Raw genomic sequence first — 18,384 nt, forward strand, 5'->3', positions numbered from 1 at the left:
CAAGGTAACTTTCAGTAAGTTACATCACATCAAAAGCATCACATACACCAACAAACAAAAAAGCTATGACAACAACAAAATTAACATAGTCATTCTGATAAATCAGAATAAGAATTTTTCTTTTAGTAAAAAAATTTATAAAAATGTAGAAACAGTGGCAATAATTCAAAGTACCTTAAAAATTGTTCATTGCTTATGTTTGAGACCTAAATTTTTAACTTGCAGATGTATTTTAGCATAGACATGTATTTTGTTAGGACTAATACCAGCATGATGGTTTACAATTCAGCTTTAAAGTTTCTAAGCGTGAACTGTGACAGTGAAGTCATGCCAAATCTTACCAAAGCATCTCCGTCCATTATCAGATAGTACAAAGCCAGGGGGGCAGAGGCACTGGAAGCCCCCTGGAGTATTAGTACAGGAACCAAAAAGACAAATGTTGGGATCTTCATCACATTCATTTATATCTGCAGAACAGGGGGAGTATTTATTAGCCATTCAACACTTGAAAATAAACAATTGTCCATACTATCACTGTCCACTAGCCAGCTGATATTTCAGACAAGAGATATTACGTTGTATGTTTAACTTATTCATAAAAATAAACTATTATTGCTTCAGAAGTCAAAAGTTGTAATTTCAACCAACCATGTGCCAGAGAGTCCCAAGTCCATGTCCACCTTCCTGTCTTTGATCTTTAGGGGTGTATGTATGTCTACCTGCCTACCTGACATGAACAACTCCATGTCTCATGGGCATTGCAGGCTCCATGTGGCCAAATGTTCTATGAACTGGTCCCCTTCTCCCTGATAACTCTCTCTCAGTAATCCAAATTGTGATCCCCATGTCACCCCTATTTCTCTCCTTTTTTCACTCCACATGCAAGCAGAATGTGGCAGCCATTTCTACCTCCTCAGTACTTCCACAGCCATCATCATTTGCCACCAGTCTCTCAACTGATGTCTACATCTCCTGAATGTCTTCTTCTTGTCACATTGCCACCAGGGCTGCCTTTCTAAAACGTCCATCTGATTACATTTGAAAATCTGTGCCTATGGAAATGGAGGGCTGAGACATATTTTGACAGTGTTATCATTTCCCCCTTTCCCCAGAACGCTTCCTTAAAATAAATAAGCATGCCTGCCTGACTAGTGATTTTTCGTCGTTTTTTTTGTGGGAAGTACTTATTTAATGGAATGTTTTAATCACATGAAAAAATACTACTTTTCAGGCACATTAGAACGTAAGCTCCATGAGGACATGACATGTCTGTCTGGCTCGCTGTTGCACCTTTAGCTCCTAGCACGGTATCTGGCACACACAAGTTCTCAATTTATGTTGGTAGAAGTTTAACAAAAGAGTCATCACATCCCTTCTATAAAACAACAAAAAACTGCAGAAACCAACACCACCGCCACCACCACCAACAACAAAAAAAACAAACACAACAACTCCTGCAATGGCTCCACGCTGACCGCAGGCCTGAGTTCAATCTTCTGAGCCAGCCATTCTATGCTCCTTGTCGTGCTCATGCTGCCTATGTTTCCAAATAGCCTCTTCTGTTCTCTTTCTTTGGTTGATCAGTAAAATCCTATCCAACATTTAAGAGTGACCTAGACAATCATCAATCCTCTGTGACAGGCTTTCTTGAACTGCCACCCTCTCACAACTACCATAATGATCCCTAACCTCCTGCGGTGCTCCCATCTCCTGAACAGACCTCCAGTACAATGTCTGTCACATTGTATTATAAGGATGTCTTCACAAAACAGGTTTATTTACAAAATAGGTCTCTCCCCTTAGGTAGTAAGTTACCCCAAAGCAAAGATGATGTTCCTGTATTTCTAGCACCTAGAAAGGTGCCAAATGTTCACTGTCATACCCACTGAATGTAGGAATGAATTTATATCTGTGCAGGGTATGTGTACACATATCTATGTCTGTGTATGTGTGTGTGTGGTCATGTTAGAATGTCATCTGGGAAAAGTTGGTAGAAAAGATACTAGTCTGAAGAAAATCTTACAGTGAAGTAAGTTAATTAAAAACCATTTTTTCACACTTTGGGAGGCCGAGGCCAGTGGATCACTTGAGGTCAGGAGTTCGAGACCAGCCTGGCCAACATGGTGAAACACCGTCTCTACTATAAGTACAAAAATTAGCCAGGCGTGGTGGTGGGCACCTGTAATACCAGCTACTTGGGAGGCTGAGGCAGGAGAATCACTTGAACCCAGGAGGTGGGGGTTGCAGTGAGCCAAGATAATGCCACTGCACTCCAGCCTGAGTGACAGAGCGAGACTCCGTCTCAAAAAAAAAAAGTAATAAATTAAAACCATTTTTTCAGAGATGCAAACTAGTGTCATTGCTAACGATAGATGAAGGAAAACGAAATATTTCTGAAACTTAATAAATAATAATATATGATATCTTAATGAAATAAAAGCTATCCATACTTTCATTAAGAGGAAAGGTAGCCAAGACTGCCTAATACAAGGAGGCATATGTATTTCTATTTCCCTCCTAGTGGCTGACACACTACTTTTATTAGCATTCCATAAAGAGAAGGATCACAGAGACAAAGAAGAATCAAGATTGAGCATGAGCAAAGAAAATGGAAGAACAACAGGATCTTAAACTTTTCTTTTTTTTAATTAATTAATTAATTATTATACTTTAAGTTTTAGGGTACATGTGCACAATGTGCAGGTTAGTTACATATGTATACATGTGCCATGCTGGTGTGCTGCACCCACTAACTCGTCATCTAGCATTAGGTATATCTCCCAATGCTATCCCTCCCTCCTCCCCCGACCCCACCACAGTCCCCAGAGTGTGATGTTCCCCTTCCTGTGTCCATGTGTTCTCATTGTTCAATTCCCACCTATGAGTGAGAATATGCGGTGTTTGGTTTTTTGTTCTTGCGATAGTTTACTGAGAATGATGATTTCCAATTTCATCCATGTCCTTACAAAGGACATGAACTCATCATTTTTTATGGCTGCAGAGTATTCCATGGTGTATATGTGCCACATTTTCTTAATCCAGTCTATCATTGTTGGACATTTGGGTTGGTTCCAAGTCTTTGCTATTGTGAATAATGCCGCAATAAACATACGTGTGCATGTGTCTTTACAGCAGCATGATTTATAGTCCTTTGGGTATATACCCAGTAATGGGATGGCTGGGTCAAATGGTACTTCTAGTTCTAGATCCCTGAGGAATCGCCACACTGACTTCCACAACGGTTGAACTAGTTTACAGTCCCACCAACAGTGTAAAAGTGTTCCTATTTCTCCACATCCTCCCCAGCACCTGTTGTTTCCTGACTTTTTAATGATTGCCATTCTAACTGGTGTGAGATGGTATCTCATTGTGGTTTTGATTTGCATTTCTCTGATGGCCAGTGATGGTGAGCATTTTTTCATGTGTTTTTTGGCTGCATAAATGTCTTCTTTTGAGAAGTGTCTGTTCATGTCCTTTGCCCACTTTTTGATGGGGTTGTTTGTTTTTTTCTTGTAAATTTGTTTGAGTTCATTGTAGATTCTGGATATTAGCCCTTTGTCAGAGTAGGTTGCGAAAATTTTCTCCCATTTTGTAGGTTGCCTGTTCACTCTGATGGTAGTTTCTTTTGCTGTGCAGAAGCTCTTTAGTTTAATTAGATCCCATTTGTCAATTTTGTCTTTTGTTGCCATTGCTTTTGGTGTTTTGGACATGACGTCCTTGCCCATGCCTATGTCCTGAATGGTAATGCCTAGGTTTTCTTCTAGGGTTTTTATGGTTTTAGGTCTAACGTTTAAGTCTTTAATCCATCTTGGATTGATTTTTGTATAAGGTGTAAGGAAGGGATCTAGTTTCAGCTTTCTACATATGGCTAGCCAGTTTTCCCAGCACCATTTATTAAATAGGGAATCCTTTCCCCATTGCTTGTTTTTCTCAGGTTTGTCAAAGATCAGATAGTTGTAGATATGCGGCGTTATTTCTGAGGGCTCTGTTCTGTTCCATTGATCTATATCTCTGTTTTGGTACCAGTACCATGCTGTTTTGGTTACTGTAGCCTTGTAGTATAGTTTGAAGTCAGGTAGTGTGATGCCTCCAGCTTTGTTCTTTTGGCTCAGGATTGCCTTGGTGATGCGGGCTCTTTTTTGGTTCCATATGAACTTTAAAGTAGTTTTTTCCAATTCTGTGAAGAAAGGCATTGGTAGCTTCATGGGGATGGCATTGAATCTGTAAATTACCTTGGGCAGTATGGCCATTTTCACAATATTGATTCTTCCTACCCATGAGCATGGAATGTTCTTCCACTTGTTTGTATCCTCTTTTATTTCCTTGAGTAGTGGTTTGTAGTTCTCCTTGAAGAGGTCCTTCACATCCCTTGTAAGTTGGATTCCTAGGTATTTTATTCTCTTTGAAGCAATTGTGAATGGGAGTTCACTCATGATTTGGCTCTCTGTTTGTCTGTTGTTGGTGTATAAGAATGCTTGTGATTTTTGTACATTGATTTTGTATCCTGAGACTTTGCTGAAGTTGCTTATCAGCTTAAGGAGATTTTGGGCTGAGACAATGGGGTTTTCTAGATATACAATCATGTCGTCTGCAAACAGGGACAATTTGACTTCCTCTTTTCCTAATTGAATACCCTTTATTTCCTTCTCCTGCCTGATTGCCCTGGCCAGAACTTCCAACACTATGTTGAATAGGAGTGGTGAGAGAGGGCATCCCTGTCTTGTGCCAGTTTTCAAAGGGAATGCTTCCAGTTTTTGCCCATTCAGTATGATATTGGCTGTGGGTTTGTCATAGATAGCTCTTACTATTTTGAGATACGTCCCATCAATACCTAATTTATTGAGAGTTTTTAGCATGAAGCACTGTTGAATTTTGTCAAAGGCCTTTTCTGCATCTTTTGAGATAATCATGTGGTTTTTGTTTTTGGTTCTGTTTATATGCTGGATTACATTTGTTGATTTGCATATATTGAACCAGCCTTGCATCCCAGGGATGAAGCCCACTTGATCATGGTGGATAAGCTTTTTGATGTGCTGCTGGATTTGGTTTGCCAGTATTTTATTGAGGATTTTTGCATCAATGTTCATCAAGGATATTGGTCTAAAATTCTCTTTTTTGGTTGTGTCTCTGCCCGGCTTTGGTATCAGGATGATGCTGGCCTCATAACATGAGTTAGGGAGGATTCCCTCTTTTTCTATTGATTGGAATAGTTTCAGAAGGAATGGTACCAGTTCCTCCTTGTACCTCTGGTAGAATTCGGCTGTGAATCCATCTGGTCCTGGACTCTTTTTGGTTGGTAAGCTATTGATTATTGCCACAATTTCAGAACCTGTTATTGGTCTATTCAGAGATTCAACTTCTTCCTGGTTTAGTCTTGGGAGAGTGTATGTGTCAAGGAATTTATCCATTTCTTCTAGATTTTCTAGTTTATTTGTGTAGAGGTGTTTGTAGTATTCTCTGATGGTAGTTTGTATTTCTGTGGGATCGATGGTGATATCCCCTTTATCATTTTTTATTGCATCTATTTGATTCTTCTCTCTTTTATTCTTTATTAGTCTTGCTAGTGGTCTATCAATTTTGTTGATCCTTTCAAAAAACCAGCTCCTGGATTCGTTAATTTTTTGAAGGGTTTTTTGTGTCTCTATTTCCTTCAGTTCTGCTCTGATTTTAGTTATTTCTTGCCTTCTGCTAGCTTTTGAATGTGTTTGCTCTTGCTTTTCTAGTTCTTTTAATTGTGATGTTAGGGTGTCAATTTTGGAACTTTCCTGCTTTCTCTTGTGAGCATTTAGTGCTGTAAATTTCCCTCTACACACTGCTTTGAATGTGTCCCAGAGATTCTGGTATGTTGTGTCTTTGTTCTCGCTGGTTTCAAATAACATCTTTATTTCTGCCTTCATTTCGTTATGTACCCAGTAGTCATTCAGGAGCAGGTTGTTCAGTTTCCATGTAGTTGAGCGGTTTTGAGTGAGATTCTTAATCCTGAGTTCTAGTTTGATTGCACTGTGGTCTGAGAGATAGTTTGTTATAATTTCTGTTCTTTTACATTTCTGAGGAGAGCTTTACTTCCAAGTATGTGGTCAATTTTGGAATAGGTGTGGTGTGGTGCTGAAAAAAATGTGTATTCTGTTGATTTGGGGTGGAGAGTTCTGTAGATGTCTATTAGGTCCGCTTGGTGCAGAGCTGAGTTCAATTCCTGGGTATGCTTGTTGACCTTCTGTCTCGTTGATCTGTCTAATGTTGACAGTGGGGTGTTAAAGTCTCCCATTATTAATGTGTGGGAGTCTAAGTCTCTTTGTAGGTCACTCAGGACTTGCTTTATGAATCTGGGTGCTCCTGTATTGGGTGCATATATATTTAGGACAGTTCACTCTTCTTGTTGAATTGATCCCTTACCATTAAGTAATGGCCTTCTTTGTCTCTTTTGATCTTTGTTGGTTTAAAGGCTGTTTTATCAGAGACTAGGATTGCAACCCCTGCCTTTTTTTGTTTTCCATTTGCTCGGTAGATCTTCCTCCATCCTTTTATTTTGAGCCTATGTGTGTCTCTGCCCGTGAGATGGGTTTCCTGAATACAGCACACTGATGGGTCTTGAGTCTTTATCCAATTTGCCAGTCTGTGTCTTTTAATTGGAGCATTTAGTCTATTTACATTTAAAGTTAATATTGTTATGTGTGAATTTGATCCTGTCATTATGACGTTAGCTGGTTATTTTGCTCGTTAGTTGATGCAGTTTCTTCCTAGTCTCGATGGTCTTTACATTTTGGCATGATTTTGCAGCGGCTGGTACCGGTTGTTCCTTTCCATGTTTAGCACTTCCTTCAGGAGCTCTTTTAGGGCAGGCCTGGTGGTGACAAAATCTCTCAGCATTTGCTTGTCTGTAAAGTATTTTATTTCTCCTTCACTTATGAAGCTTAGTTTGGCTGGATATGAAATTCTGGGTTGAAAATTCTTTTCTTTAAGAATGTTGAATATTGGCCGCCACTCTCTTCTGGCTTGTAGAGTTTCTGCCGAGAGATCCGCTGTTAGTCTGATGGGCTTCCCTTTGAGGGTAACCTGACCTTTCTCTCTGGCTGCCCTTAACATTTTTTCCTTCATTTCAACTTTGGTGAATCTGACAATTATGTGTCTTGGTGTTGCTCTTCTCGAGGAGTATCTTTGTGGCGTTCTCTGTATTTCCTGAATCTGAATGTTGGCCTGCCTTGCTAGATTGGGGAAGTTCTCCTGGATAACATCCTGCAGAGTGTTTTCCAACTTGGTTCCATTCTCCCCGTCACTTTCAGGTACACCAATCAGACGTAGATTTGGTCTTTTCACATAGTCCCATATTTCTTGGAGGCTTTGCTCATTTCTTTTTATTCTTTTTTCTCTAAACTTCCCTTCTCACTTCATTTCATTCATTTCATCTTCCATCGCTGATACCCTTTCTTCCAGTTGATCGCGTCAGCTCCTGAGGCTTCTGCATTCTTCACGTAGTTCTCGAGCCTTGGTTTTCAGCTCCATCAGCTCCTTTAAGCACTTCTCTGTATTGGTTATTCTAGTTATACATTCATCTAAATTTTTTTCAAAGTTTTCAAGTTCTTTGCCTTTGGTTTGAGTGTCCTCCCATAGCTCGGAGTAATTTGATCGTCTGAAGCCTTCTTCTCTCAGCTCGTCAAAGTTATTCTCCGTCCAGTTTTGTTCTGTTGCTGGTGAGGAACTGCGTTCCTTTGGAGGAGGAGAGGCGCTCTGCTTTTTAGAGTTTCTAGTTTTTCTGCTCTGTTTTTTCCCCATCTTTGTGGTTTTATCTACTTTTGGTCTTTGATGATGGTGATGTACAGATGGGCTTTTGGTGTGGATGTCCTTTCTGTTAGTTTTCCTTCTAACAGACAGGACCCTCAGCTGCAGGTCTGTTGGAGTACTGGGCCGTGTGAGGTGTCAGTCTGCCCCTGCTGGGGGGTGCCTCCCAGTTAGGCTGCTCGGGGGTCAGGGGTCAGGGACCCACTTGAGGAGGCAGTCTGCCCGTTCTCAGATCTCCAGCTGCGTGCTGGGAGAACCACTGCTCTCTTCAAAGCTGTCAGACAGGGACATTTAAGTCTGCAGAGGTTACTGCTGTCTTTTTGTTTGTCTGTGCCCTGCCCCCAGAGGTGGAGCCTACAGAGGCAGGCAGGCCTCCTTGAGCTGTGGTGGGCTCCAAACAGTTCGAGCTTCCGGGCTGCTTTGTTTACCTAAGCAAGCCTGGGCAATGGTGGGCGCCCCTCCCCCAGCCTCACAGTTTGATCTCAGACTGCTGTGCTAGCAATCAGTGAGACTCCATGGGCATAGGACCCTCCGAGCCATGTGCGGGATATAATCTCCTGGTGCGCCGTTTTTTAAGCCCGTCGGAAAACCGCAGTATTCGGGTGGAAGTGACCCGATTCTCCAGGTGCCGTCTGTCACCACTTTCTTTGACTAGGAAAGGGAACTCCCTGACCCCTTGCGCTTCCCGAGTGAGGCAATGCCTCGCCCTGCTTTGGCTCGTGCACAGTGCATGCACCCACTGACCTGCGCCCACTGTCTGGCACTCCCTAGTAAGATGAACCCAGCACCTCAGATGGAAATGCAGAAATCACCCGTCTTCTCCGTCACTCATGCTGGGAGCTGTAGACCGGAGCTGTTCCTATTTGGCCATCTTGGCTCCTCCCCCCTTAAACTTTTCAAGAAACTTCTCACTGAGATGATTCTAGTATTATTGTTTATTATTTTTTAAGTATTAAAAACACTAGTCTTATAATGAACTATACAAATCAGAAAATCAGAATGACTAGGGGATACCCATGGTATCTAATTATGTGGTCTGAAGAATAATTAAATTCTATGAAGTAAACTACTTCCTTCTGCCCTATTTAACTCCCTTAAATATGAACAGTAGAATGACATATCTTTAGGTAGAATCTTGCCAAGGGCGATAGAATTGGATAATTCAAAGGCAGAAAATATCCTTAGCATCTTTTCACGTTAGAAAAACCACACTAAAATGCTGGTGCTTCTGAATTTCAACAAGGCTGTAAAAAATAATTTGTATAAAAGTGAAATAAAGTGAACTGTAAAAAAGGTCGGACTTCATCATGTCCACTAGGCAATTCTGGGACACACTTTTGATGTGGTTACAGTGTTCGTGTGTGCTGGAAGGGTTTCAACAGAAAAACATCTGTTATGACAAATGGATTAATATTTGCTGCTTTGACATGAGGCCTTCCCAAGAAAAAGAATGTCTCAACAGCATTGTCGAGATTTTTCTGCTTCACATTTCTAAGACCCTAGACACCTTTAATAGCTGTTTTAAAACTGGGTGCCAAAGATTACAATTTTTGTAGACACTCTTTAAATTCACTGAAAGTCGCTGCTGACATTTGGAAAAAAGATTAATTAGCATATGCTGAAAATTCTTTGACTAGCATTAGATTTCTGGTAATGAAAAAATCCTACATCCCTAAGTTTTTTATTCTCACCATCATTTCTGATGGTTCAGTAAAACAGATGTAGGCAGCTATATGTTTAATTCCTTAGGTCAGCATGCTTGCAGTGGTTGGCACTTAGTATGTTTCCAGAGTCTTTACCATGTCTTACTATACTGAACTACTAGTGGGCCTCAGAATAAATGTTACTCTTACCAATGCAGTTCTCGCTTTTTACTTCATACCCTGGGGGACAGATGCATCTGAAGGATCCCTCCAAATTCTGACAGGTACCAGGAGAGCAAGAGCCGGGAAGGGCGACACACTCATTAGTGTCTTTAGAGAAAAAGAAGAGAAAAAATAATTTAAGCATGAGATAATTGTTACATAGATTTATCTGTCTGCCAAATGATATTAACATGAATTCAACTCGGGTCCTCTGATCTACTGGGTCACCATGAACAAATATTACCAAAGATACTCTTCTGACATCTTGGATATTTCTTATTTGGCAAGTGGCTAATTTTCTTTATTTGTTGTCTTTGCTTACTTTTCTTAAGACATGGACAGCCTCAAGCTCTGTCCCCAGTAAAAACACTGCCTATGAGACATTCCCATTGTTGATACCTTATACTAAAATTTTCCATCATAGCTTATCTTGGTCATGTGCTCTGATGATTAAATGAAATATTAATGAGTTCTTAAGTGAAAGGAGGGAGGCACATATCATCATTTTACAAAACATAACACCACAAAGACTGCTTATTATTTAAATACTTACCTATACAGTTTTTGCCATCTGGGGTAAGTTCATAACCTTCGTTACATAGACACTTGAAAGAACCAATTTCATTAAAACAACGTCCATTTCTGCACACCTGACCAAAAAAGGAACTGCACTCATCTATGTCTGTAAGCAAACAGGAGTATGTTTTTCAGAAAGAGCTCTTAACATGTATATTGTTTCACAAGACGCTACTTAAAAACATACTTATTGGCATGCATTTATAAGAAATCCCATATTACAACTCCTCATCAACAGAGAAAAATGGCACATATCATAAGGATCATATAATTAATAGGATCCCATAGAGTCCTACTATTTTTCAACCATAAAGATACATTTTTTTCATTTTTGATATTAATATAACTCATGAATTTAGAACCAGATAAAAATCAAGGTTTACGGTGAAGCTTTCCATTCTTTCTAACTGAAAAATATTTATTTTCCCACAGGCAGGAGGATATGTGGGATTTAATCTGATTGCCTAATTTGCATATACTTTACCTGGAGCTAAGCTGAGCATATTCAGAGAACAAATAAATGAGCTTATTTATTACTGGAAAATCAATGATATTAAAAACACTGGAATTGCTGATATCAAACATAATTGAAAGAAAAAAGACATTAAGTATTAAGTTTTCATTTAAGTTTTAGTTCTCCCTGACTGTACAAAGGCTCTAAGAAACTAGTCAAGAAGGCAGCAGTTGAATAAAATGTCCAATTAGCTCTACTTTTTTTCACAATTGTGGAATTTTGAAAAATAAAGAAAACAGAGAGGAACTTATGTTGGGTTAAATGAGGACGTGGGGATGAGCTCTGATGTAGTCCCACAATGGTAGAAAACCTAAGTTCTTTCACATACCTTGCAGGGCCATGCGAATTACAACACATTATGCTGTAAATTACCCATGCAGTTCCTGGCATGCAGTAAACAAGGAATAAACGTTTGCTGTCATTTCTCTTATTCTCTCCTCCAACTACTTCAGGACCCTCTCCCACTCACTATGTTTCCATTTCACATTTGTGTGTTGCTGTGGGCCAAAGACTAAAGTCCTGTATGGCGCATAGGAGATATTTCTGAGGGCTTATCTAGAAACCTAGTCACCATTCATTATTTTTGTGGGGAAAGGCATTCTGGCTTCAAAAGCTGATGGAAAATGAAATGTCATGACAGGTGTAAGCAGGAGGCTACTGGTACTTGAATGTAAATAATCCAGAATGGATTTAAATGAAATACTTGTAATAACATTGAGACAATGAAGGGTCTATTTTTGATCTCATTAAGGAAATACAAATACCCTAAACCATAAATCAGTCCAAATATGTTTACTGTGATCTGAATGACCTTTTTTTCCTGAAATGATTGGCTGATTGACAAAAGGATTCAAGAGTATATTGTCTTGTGACAATTTAGGCCAATACTATGGTTTCAGTTAACTAGAAACCAGTCAATGAAATTATATATCTTTTGGCACATATTTGCAATTTTAGTAATATAATTTTTTTTTGTTCTTTAGTTTTGTTTTTTATTTCAGCACATTGTGTGGAAATGAAATAGAAGCAATAAAGGACTGAATGAAGTACTTACCCAGGCAATCATTATTATGAGTGAGTTCAAACCCTGGGTAGCACAGACAGTTATAGGATCCAACGGTGTTTTTACAAGTTCCATTTCCACATGGATGCCGCTCGCACTCATCAACATCTATAAAGAAATATAGGCTCAAAAAATTCAATTTTTAACTAGAAAAAAATGGGCTATTAACCGTTTTATATGTTTAACTTATGGAATTACTTAGATTTTCCTCATTCAGTACTAGAAACTCATATCTACTTGAGGAAAATGAGTAAGAGATACGGAAAAATCAAAATTACAAGAATCAAAATTGTAAAATTCTAAGAAAATAGTACAGTTTAACAGGTACTGACTGTACTCAGACAATACTCAGACATAGCCTAAGAGAGCATCCCCCTAGTAGAGATGTATTAATGAGCAGGTCTGCTTAATAATCGTAAATAAAACTGATCTTCTAAAATACTGAAACAATTTCTTTCATAATAAAAGGCATTATAAACACTTACCCAGAAATTTAAATCCCTTAATTTGAGCAGAAAAACAAAGACAAACTTTAGTTTACTTAATTGTATGAAGTAATGAAATCCAAATTGAGGTTTATTAGAATTCACTATTAGCCTTCAAAAAAACTGAATTAAGAAAATATTTAGAAAGGTCATTCATCATATGAGACAGCAGACTCCCCAACTATGAATTCCAGGCTGCTGAAACTCTACCACACCAAAAAAAGGGTGGGGGCTGGTATTGTTCTTTAGGAAGGAAGCTCTGTATAAGGGAGGTCTTACTGAAGAATCTGACTAGCTTTTATCATGGAAGAATTGTTATGAGTGGACAGATTTTCCCCATACGAAATTCTGAATCATAAATCTCATATTTTTTTTTGGTAAATCATACTCTCTCTGGGAGTACAGCAAGAAGAAGCATGTATAAACAAGCATTCTTAGGGAGTTCATGCAAATAAGACCAGATCCTGTATATTCCTTTGTATAAACATCACCTAGAGAATTTTCCCTGCCATTATAGGAGAAGTCCAAAGGGAGGGCTTTAGGAGGCAATGGATGAACCTGGAGACATACTCCAGGTATTCCCTGTTGTATGGATGTGTCATGAAGGAAACCAGTCCTGCAGTACTGAAATCTGATTTTAATATTCACATAGATAATATCTTGAATATCAAGAGTAGCTGAACAGCCCTAGCCTTTTCTACACTGAGAAAATGCTAATTACAAGTAGCCAAGTTTTAAATTTAATTTTCCCCTTTCAAGTGCAAAGCACAGAAAGAAAACTCTTCAGCAGAGGCAGAGCCAACTGCTGACATCAGACTTAAGGGGTTATACTCAGTCCCAGCTTCATGGCATCCAGCCCATCTGTCTTTGAAAACCTATTAATCATCAGCTCAGCAAGTACTCACTAAGCTCTATTACCACTTGGCTACCCATTACATTAGCTACTGGGAATTTTTAAAGAGTTTGGCTATATTTGCTCCTAAAGCTATTTTTAAGGGATAAAACACAAAATATGTACATAAATCCCACTATTCAACAATTTGTTTTAAAAAAGTATGTGCATATGTGTATAAATTTATTAAGTTTAATGCTGTCACTCTTACTACTCTCTTGCATTCCAAAATGGTGTCTTGAGTAGAAACATGAAAGTAAAGGGCAGCGGGTGCTATGGTAAGTTCCACACAAGCCCAAGTGGCTCAGAGGGTTTTTTCTTGTCAAGCCATGTGAACATCTTCTGGAGAAAAAGCTGTGAATCACTGAACTGACGAACATATCGCAGTATGTCCCTGCTTGCAAATTTTATATATTGCAGTATGTCCCTGCTTGCAAATTTTATATTGAATCAAGACTTAAATAGTTTGACCTAGTTAATTTTTTGCAAGATTGTTTCTGACAGAGACATAGTAGTTACTCATGGCACTTGATGGAACTGTGATCTGTTCTGGAACCCCAGCCCCACTTCACTCCCTGGAGCCACATGCCCTTCTTACCCATGCACATGGTCTGGTCCTGAGAAGCCTTAAAGCCATTGTGGCAGATGCACTGGTAACTTCCTTGCAGATCAACACACAAGCCATGACTGCAAACGTTAGGAATTTCTAAACATTCATTGCGATCTAAAACAGAAAAAAATAAATGTTACATGTATCTGATTTTTATTAAGATTTCTTCATTTTTCACAGTTGTGTTTCTCTAATCTGCTATTAATTATTATAGGCAGGCTGAAAATGAACCATAACAACAGCTGAATCAAAATGAGCAGGACTTCAAAGTATCCAACCCTCTTTTTTTAATCATGCAAATTTTTTTATGTTTATTGGTATCTGAAGGATATTATTTTATTTTAGGTCCAATCCTGGGGAAATCCATTGAAGAGATCTATTTTCTTAACAAAATCATCTAAAAGATATGGTGAAATAGGTTCACTATAAATGAACAGGTTAAGTGAGAAAATCTTTCCCAAATTATTCTTGAAGTATTTTTTGATAGGAAATCTAAGGAATCTTGTGCTCAGTGCCAAAGAATGAGTCAGCCTCTTTCTTACCTACACAGGCCCCATTGGGTGAAAGTTTGAAACCCGCGGCACATTCACAGCGGTAACTACCAGGACTATTGATGCAGTCTGCATTCCGCTGGCAGAGATTATCACCATTGCTGCACTCATCTATATCTGAAAGAGCAACAATTCCATTTTAAAGAGTCCTTTTTAGTATTGTATTAGCATTACATTCACGTCACACTTTGATGATCAACTCTTGAAAAATTGTAGAAGAAATAGTAAAAATCAGAAACCATCTAAATGCTATATATGTATACCAAATTATACTGGATAAAGGACATACTTTATTCAGATTACCTTCACAAACCAACAGCAGGTCATTGTAACTGAATCCTGTAGGGCATTCACAGCGGAAACTGCCAATCTGGTTAATGCACACACCATTTGCACAAATGCCTGGAATCTCTTTACATTCATCAATGTCTGAAATGGAACAGATTTGGTCAAATATATGTTGTTCTGTTTAATATACTTACCATATAACTTTGAATAATGCTACATGTACCCTGGGATGAGTACAAATATTCAGTGTCACAAAAATCTATTATATACTAGTATAGCTAATTTTTTTGGTTTATAAAAACATATATACCAGAAAATAGAAACAGTGATGGAAAAAATCTAAGTAGCTGATAAAATATACCAAGTAATTTCAGAGTCAATATAGCAAATGAACTTTCTAGGCAATCAAACCCCTTCTTCAGGTTACCCTAAGTGCTGCTATTCATTTGTTTAAAAAGCTATGTTTTCATCATTGTATGTATTTTATTTTATCATATATTCATAATGGAGACTTAAAATTATATTGCTTAGGCCAGGTGTGGTGGCTCACGCCTGTAATCCCAGCACTTTGGGAGGCTGAGGAGGGTGGATCACCTGAGGTCAGGAGTTCTAGACCAGCCTGACCAACATGGTGAAACTTCCATCTCTACTAAAAATACAAAAAATTAGCCGGGTGTGGTGGTGGGTGCCTGTAATCCCAGCTACTCAGGAGGCTGAGGCAGGAGAATCACTTGAACCTAGGAGACAGAGGTTACAGTGAGCTGAGATCGCGCCATTGCACTCCAGCCTGGGCAACAAGAGCAAAACTCCATCTCAAAAAAAAAAATTATATTGCTTATCAAATCTTTGAGGAAGGAAGCTAGAGTGAGCAACACAATGTACATTTAGAAGGAATTAATTAATATGAAAAATAAGTCTGCACATTCATATTTAGACCAGTAAAAAGGGATACTGCAAAAATACACCAAAAATTAAAAAATGTACTTAAGAAAATAGCAACTAAAGGTTAAAATAAGGTAGATTATTTAGAGTCATGTAATACAATGTGCATGACAAGGACAACTGAAGCTTTAGCTTGGTGGATGTGACAAATATCGAGAGAGTCACATAACTACCATAACCCAATCACCAGACTACGCTGATGGAGTATCATTATTAATACTTGGTTAGAGTCTGTAAGCCTGTTATTTCTCTCTTATCTAACTATATTAGATTGGATCCCAGATTATTATATTTTGTGGTACTCTTGAATTTTAAAAACATAGAATAGATTTTTACAGAATGCTACACATATGTATTAAAACAAACATAATCTGGAAAAACTCACCAACAGCTTTTCCTGTGTGAATGTCAAAGGTGAATCCAGGAATATTTCCACATATGGTTTTAAAGTCAGCTTTAAAATATAAACAAAGCAATGCACTCTTAAATTTCTCAAATTCCTTCAAAATAACATTTTGTATTACTTTCACAAACAAATATATTTTACATTATTCACAACCAGACATTTTGATTTCAATTATATTTATTTGATAGCAATGCCAGCTTCTGCTAGGAGTGGATCTAGGCATTCTTTACCATTATTATCATTGTTATTTCTATTACTCTCATTAACTTTTTACTGCTCTGATATCAGAAGGCAAGTAAATCATTATAAGATTCAAAATGTCCATTTAGATATTTAAATACTTTTTCTTTTAATATGCAGAGCTTTAAAAAACATCCAATACATAAAGATTAAAAAAAAAGAGAAGTACAAATTGAAAAAGGAATTACAGATTGCACAAAGGTATAGACATGCAAAAATAATGTTGTAGAGGGGAAATAGGTAAACAATGTATAATGAATGAGATGCGAATTTTGTCTTTTTTTTTTTTACTGTGTCTATTGGAATGTGAAATTTGAGTCATCAAAAACAATGCATTATGAAATAAAATAGGGACTATAAGAAGTATTCTTACACATAATTAACCAAATCAATGGAAATTTAAAAGAATTCTAATTTGCAAGATGAAAAATGCTTCTGACGCTCACTGCTATACAAGTGAGTAAAACTCCTGAAAACAGTATTATATAAAACTTAAACTGCATACTATATTCCAAGTGCTATCAGGTCAGGGATATTGTATATTTCATCCATCAATATATACCGAGTATTGAGAACAGATAGAAAGACCACAGATGCTCAACTTAATGGTTTCTAATTGTCTGGAAATCTTCAAATTATAATTTATATGTATAATCTCCCTAATTGTCATTGCACCCATATGAATTAGTCACTGTAATTATTTATTATTCCTATTTTATACATGAGAAATTAGTTTCAGAAAGGATACATACTCTGCAGGAGGTTCCACAATAAGTATCTTAAGAGTTTTGATTTAAATACAGACACGTCTCTCAACTCCAAGCCTTTCGCTTCTTCTCACAAAGAAAGTGCCATTTTAATTCCCCAAATCAATGATCTTAAATTTGTAACTATGGAGTTTTAAAGTTGAGAATTGTAGGAATGTTTCTATTTAATTTTATGGAACATAATAATGGCAAGATAAGGCTAAGAAAATCCATTTGACCAGTGAATTGGAGCCACTGAAAAAGGCCTATGTGTTGCTTTTCATCATTTCTCTCCTTAATTTCATCAATACATTAAATGGAACATTTAAATACATATACCCTAAGTAATATTTGGTAACAAATGCATAATCACTGTTTCTTATTTGGCCTACTGGTTCAACTCTTAGTATCTATAGTTATTAAAAGTTGCCATTCTCCAGGTCATAAAAGAGAGCCTGATGGACAGCAATTTTAAGACAAGCATTTTTGCTCTTATCTCTATTATCTTTCATTTTTTCTTTCAAAAGAAACTGTCTTGTGAAAAAAACATGACCAAGTGAAGACAAGCTCTATTTTTTGCCTAAAAATTTCACTGATGTCTGAGGAAGAAGATGTAAAAGGCACATTATGACAATGGGTTGCTTTTATGTAAAATTCGCTCATAAAAAACACTTTTTGCATATTTTCCACGGCTGAACTAAAAAAAAATCCTTATTGAATTTAGTTTTTCTCCAAATATTATACTTTCCATGTCTAGCACAGTGACATACAGTAGTTACTCAAGAAATATTTGTTTGATGAATAAATCAATAATTGACAAGCACAGTTTAAGATAATGAGTTTAAATGGACTAATGCTATCAACTCTAACTCTTCAGCAATGGATCTTATTTTCAGGATTCACAAGCCTATCCAACATAATGTCTCAGAAGTTAGTGTTTGAATCCCAAAGAGGATCACTTGGGAAACAGAACCATATGATGCTCTTGGGAATTTTTGGAACTGAGCATCTCTAGTTTTAGCATGCAGTGACTTTGACTATACTGTTAGATATATGCGTGTATCACTGATGTGGCAGTCAGCAGATGCACGAGCCGTGTGCTTACCTGTTCCTGGAGTTGGGCATGGTTCACAAGGTTTGTTCCAGGCTTTGCCCACATTATATGTGCAGCAGCACATCCTTTTTGTCACATTGAAAGGCAACTCATTCTCACAAGTGGTTCCATTATAGCTTCGGTAGCAAAAGCTTTTTCTCATGTCTATATAAAGAAAAACAAAGAAACTAGCCATTTGTATCCACGAGTAGTTTATAATGAAGCCCACACAGCTGTAGACATCAAGCTTTCCTGATGAACACAACTCGGAAACCCTTTTTAGTCATTTGAAGCTATCTTAAAATAACTCCTTAAACATAAATCATTTTTAGATTAA

At 37.7% G+C, this 18,384-nt stretch overlaps 1 protein-coding gene across 2 annotated transcripts in view; it reads right to left on the reverse strand.

Moving 5' to 3' along the window:
- FBN2 (fibrillin 2) overlaps positions 1-18,384 on the reverse strand; it is a 280,337-nt gene that overhangs the window by 33,279 nt on the left and 228,674 nt on the right. For both annotated transcript variants that reach the window (XM_017009228.3, NM_001999.4), the window contains 9 exons: positions 18,060-18,212; positions 15,948-16,016; positions 14,636-14,761; positions 14,324-14,449; positions 13,770-13,895; positions 11,786-11,902; positions 10,195-10,323; positions 9,630-9,749; positions 342-467 (listed from right to left, as the gene is read on the reverse strand). In XM_017009228.3, coding sequence (XP_016864717.1) covers positions 342-467; positions 9,630-9,749; positions 10,195-10,323; positions 11,786-11,902; positions 13,770-13,895; positions 14,324-14,449; positions 14,636-14,761; positions 15,948-16,016; positions 18,060-18,212 — 1,092 coding nt within the window. The remainder of the gene's footprint in view (positions 1-341; positions 468-9,629; positions 9,750-10,194; positions 10,324-11,785; positions 11,903-13,769; positions 13,896-14,323; positions 14,450-14,635; positions 14,762-15,947; positions 16,017-18,059; positions 18,213-18,384) is intronic.

The sequence above is a fragment of the Homo sapiens genome, chromosome 5, assembly GCF_000001405.40.
Source record: "Homo sapiens chromosome 5, GRCh38.p14 Primary Assembly".
In the NCBI taxonomy this organism is placed as follows: Eukaryota; Metazoa; Chordata; class Mammalia; order Primates; family Hominidae; genus Homo; species Homo sapiens.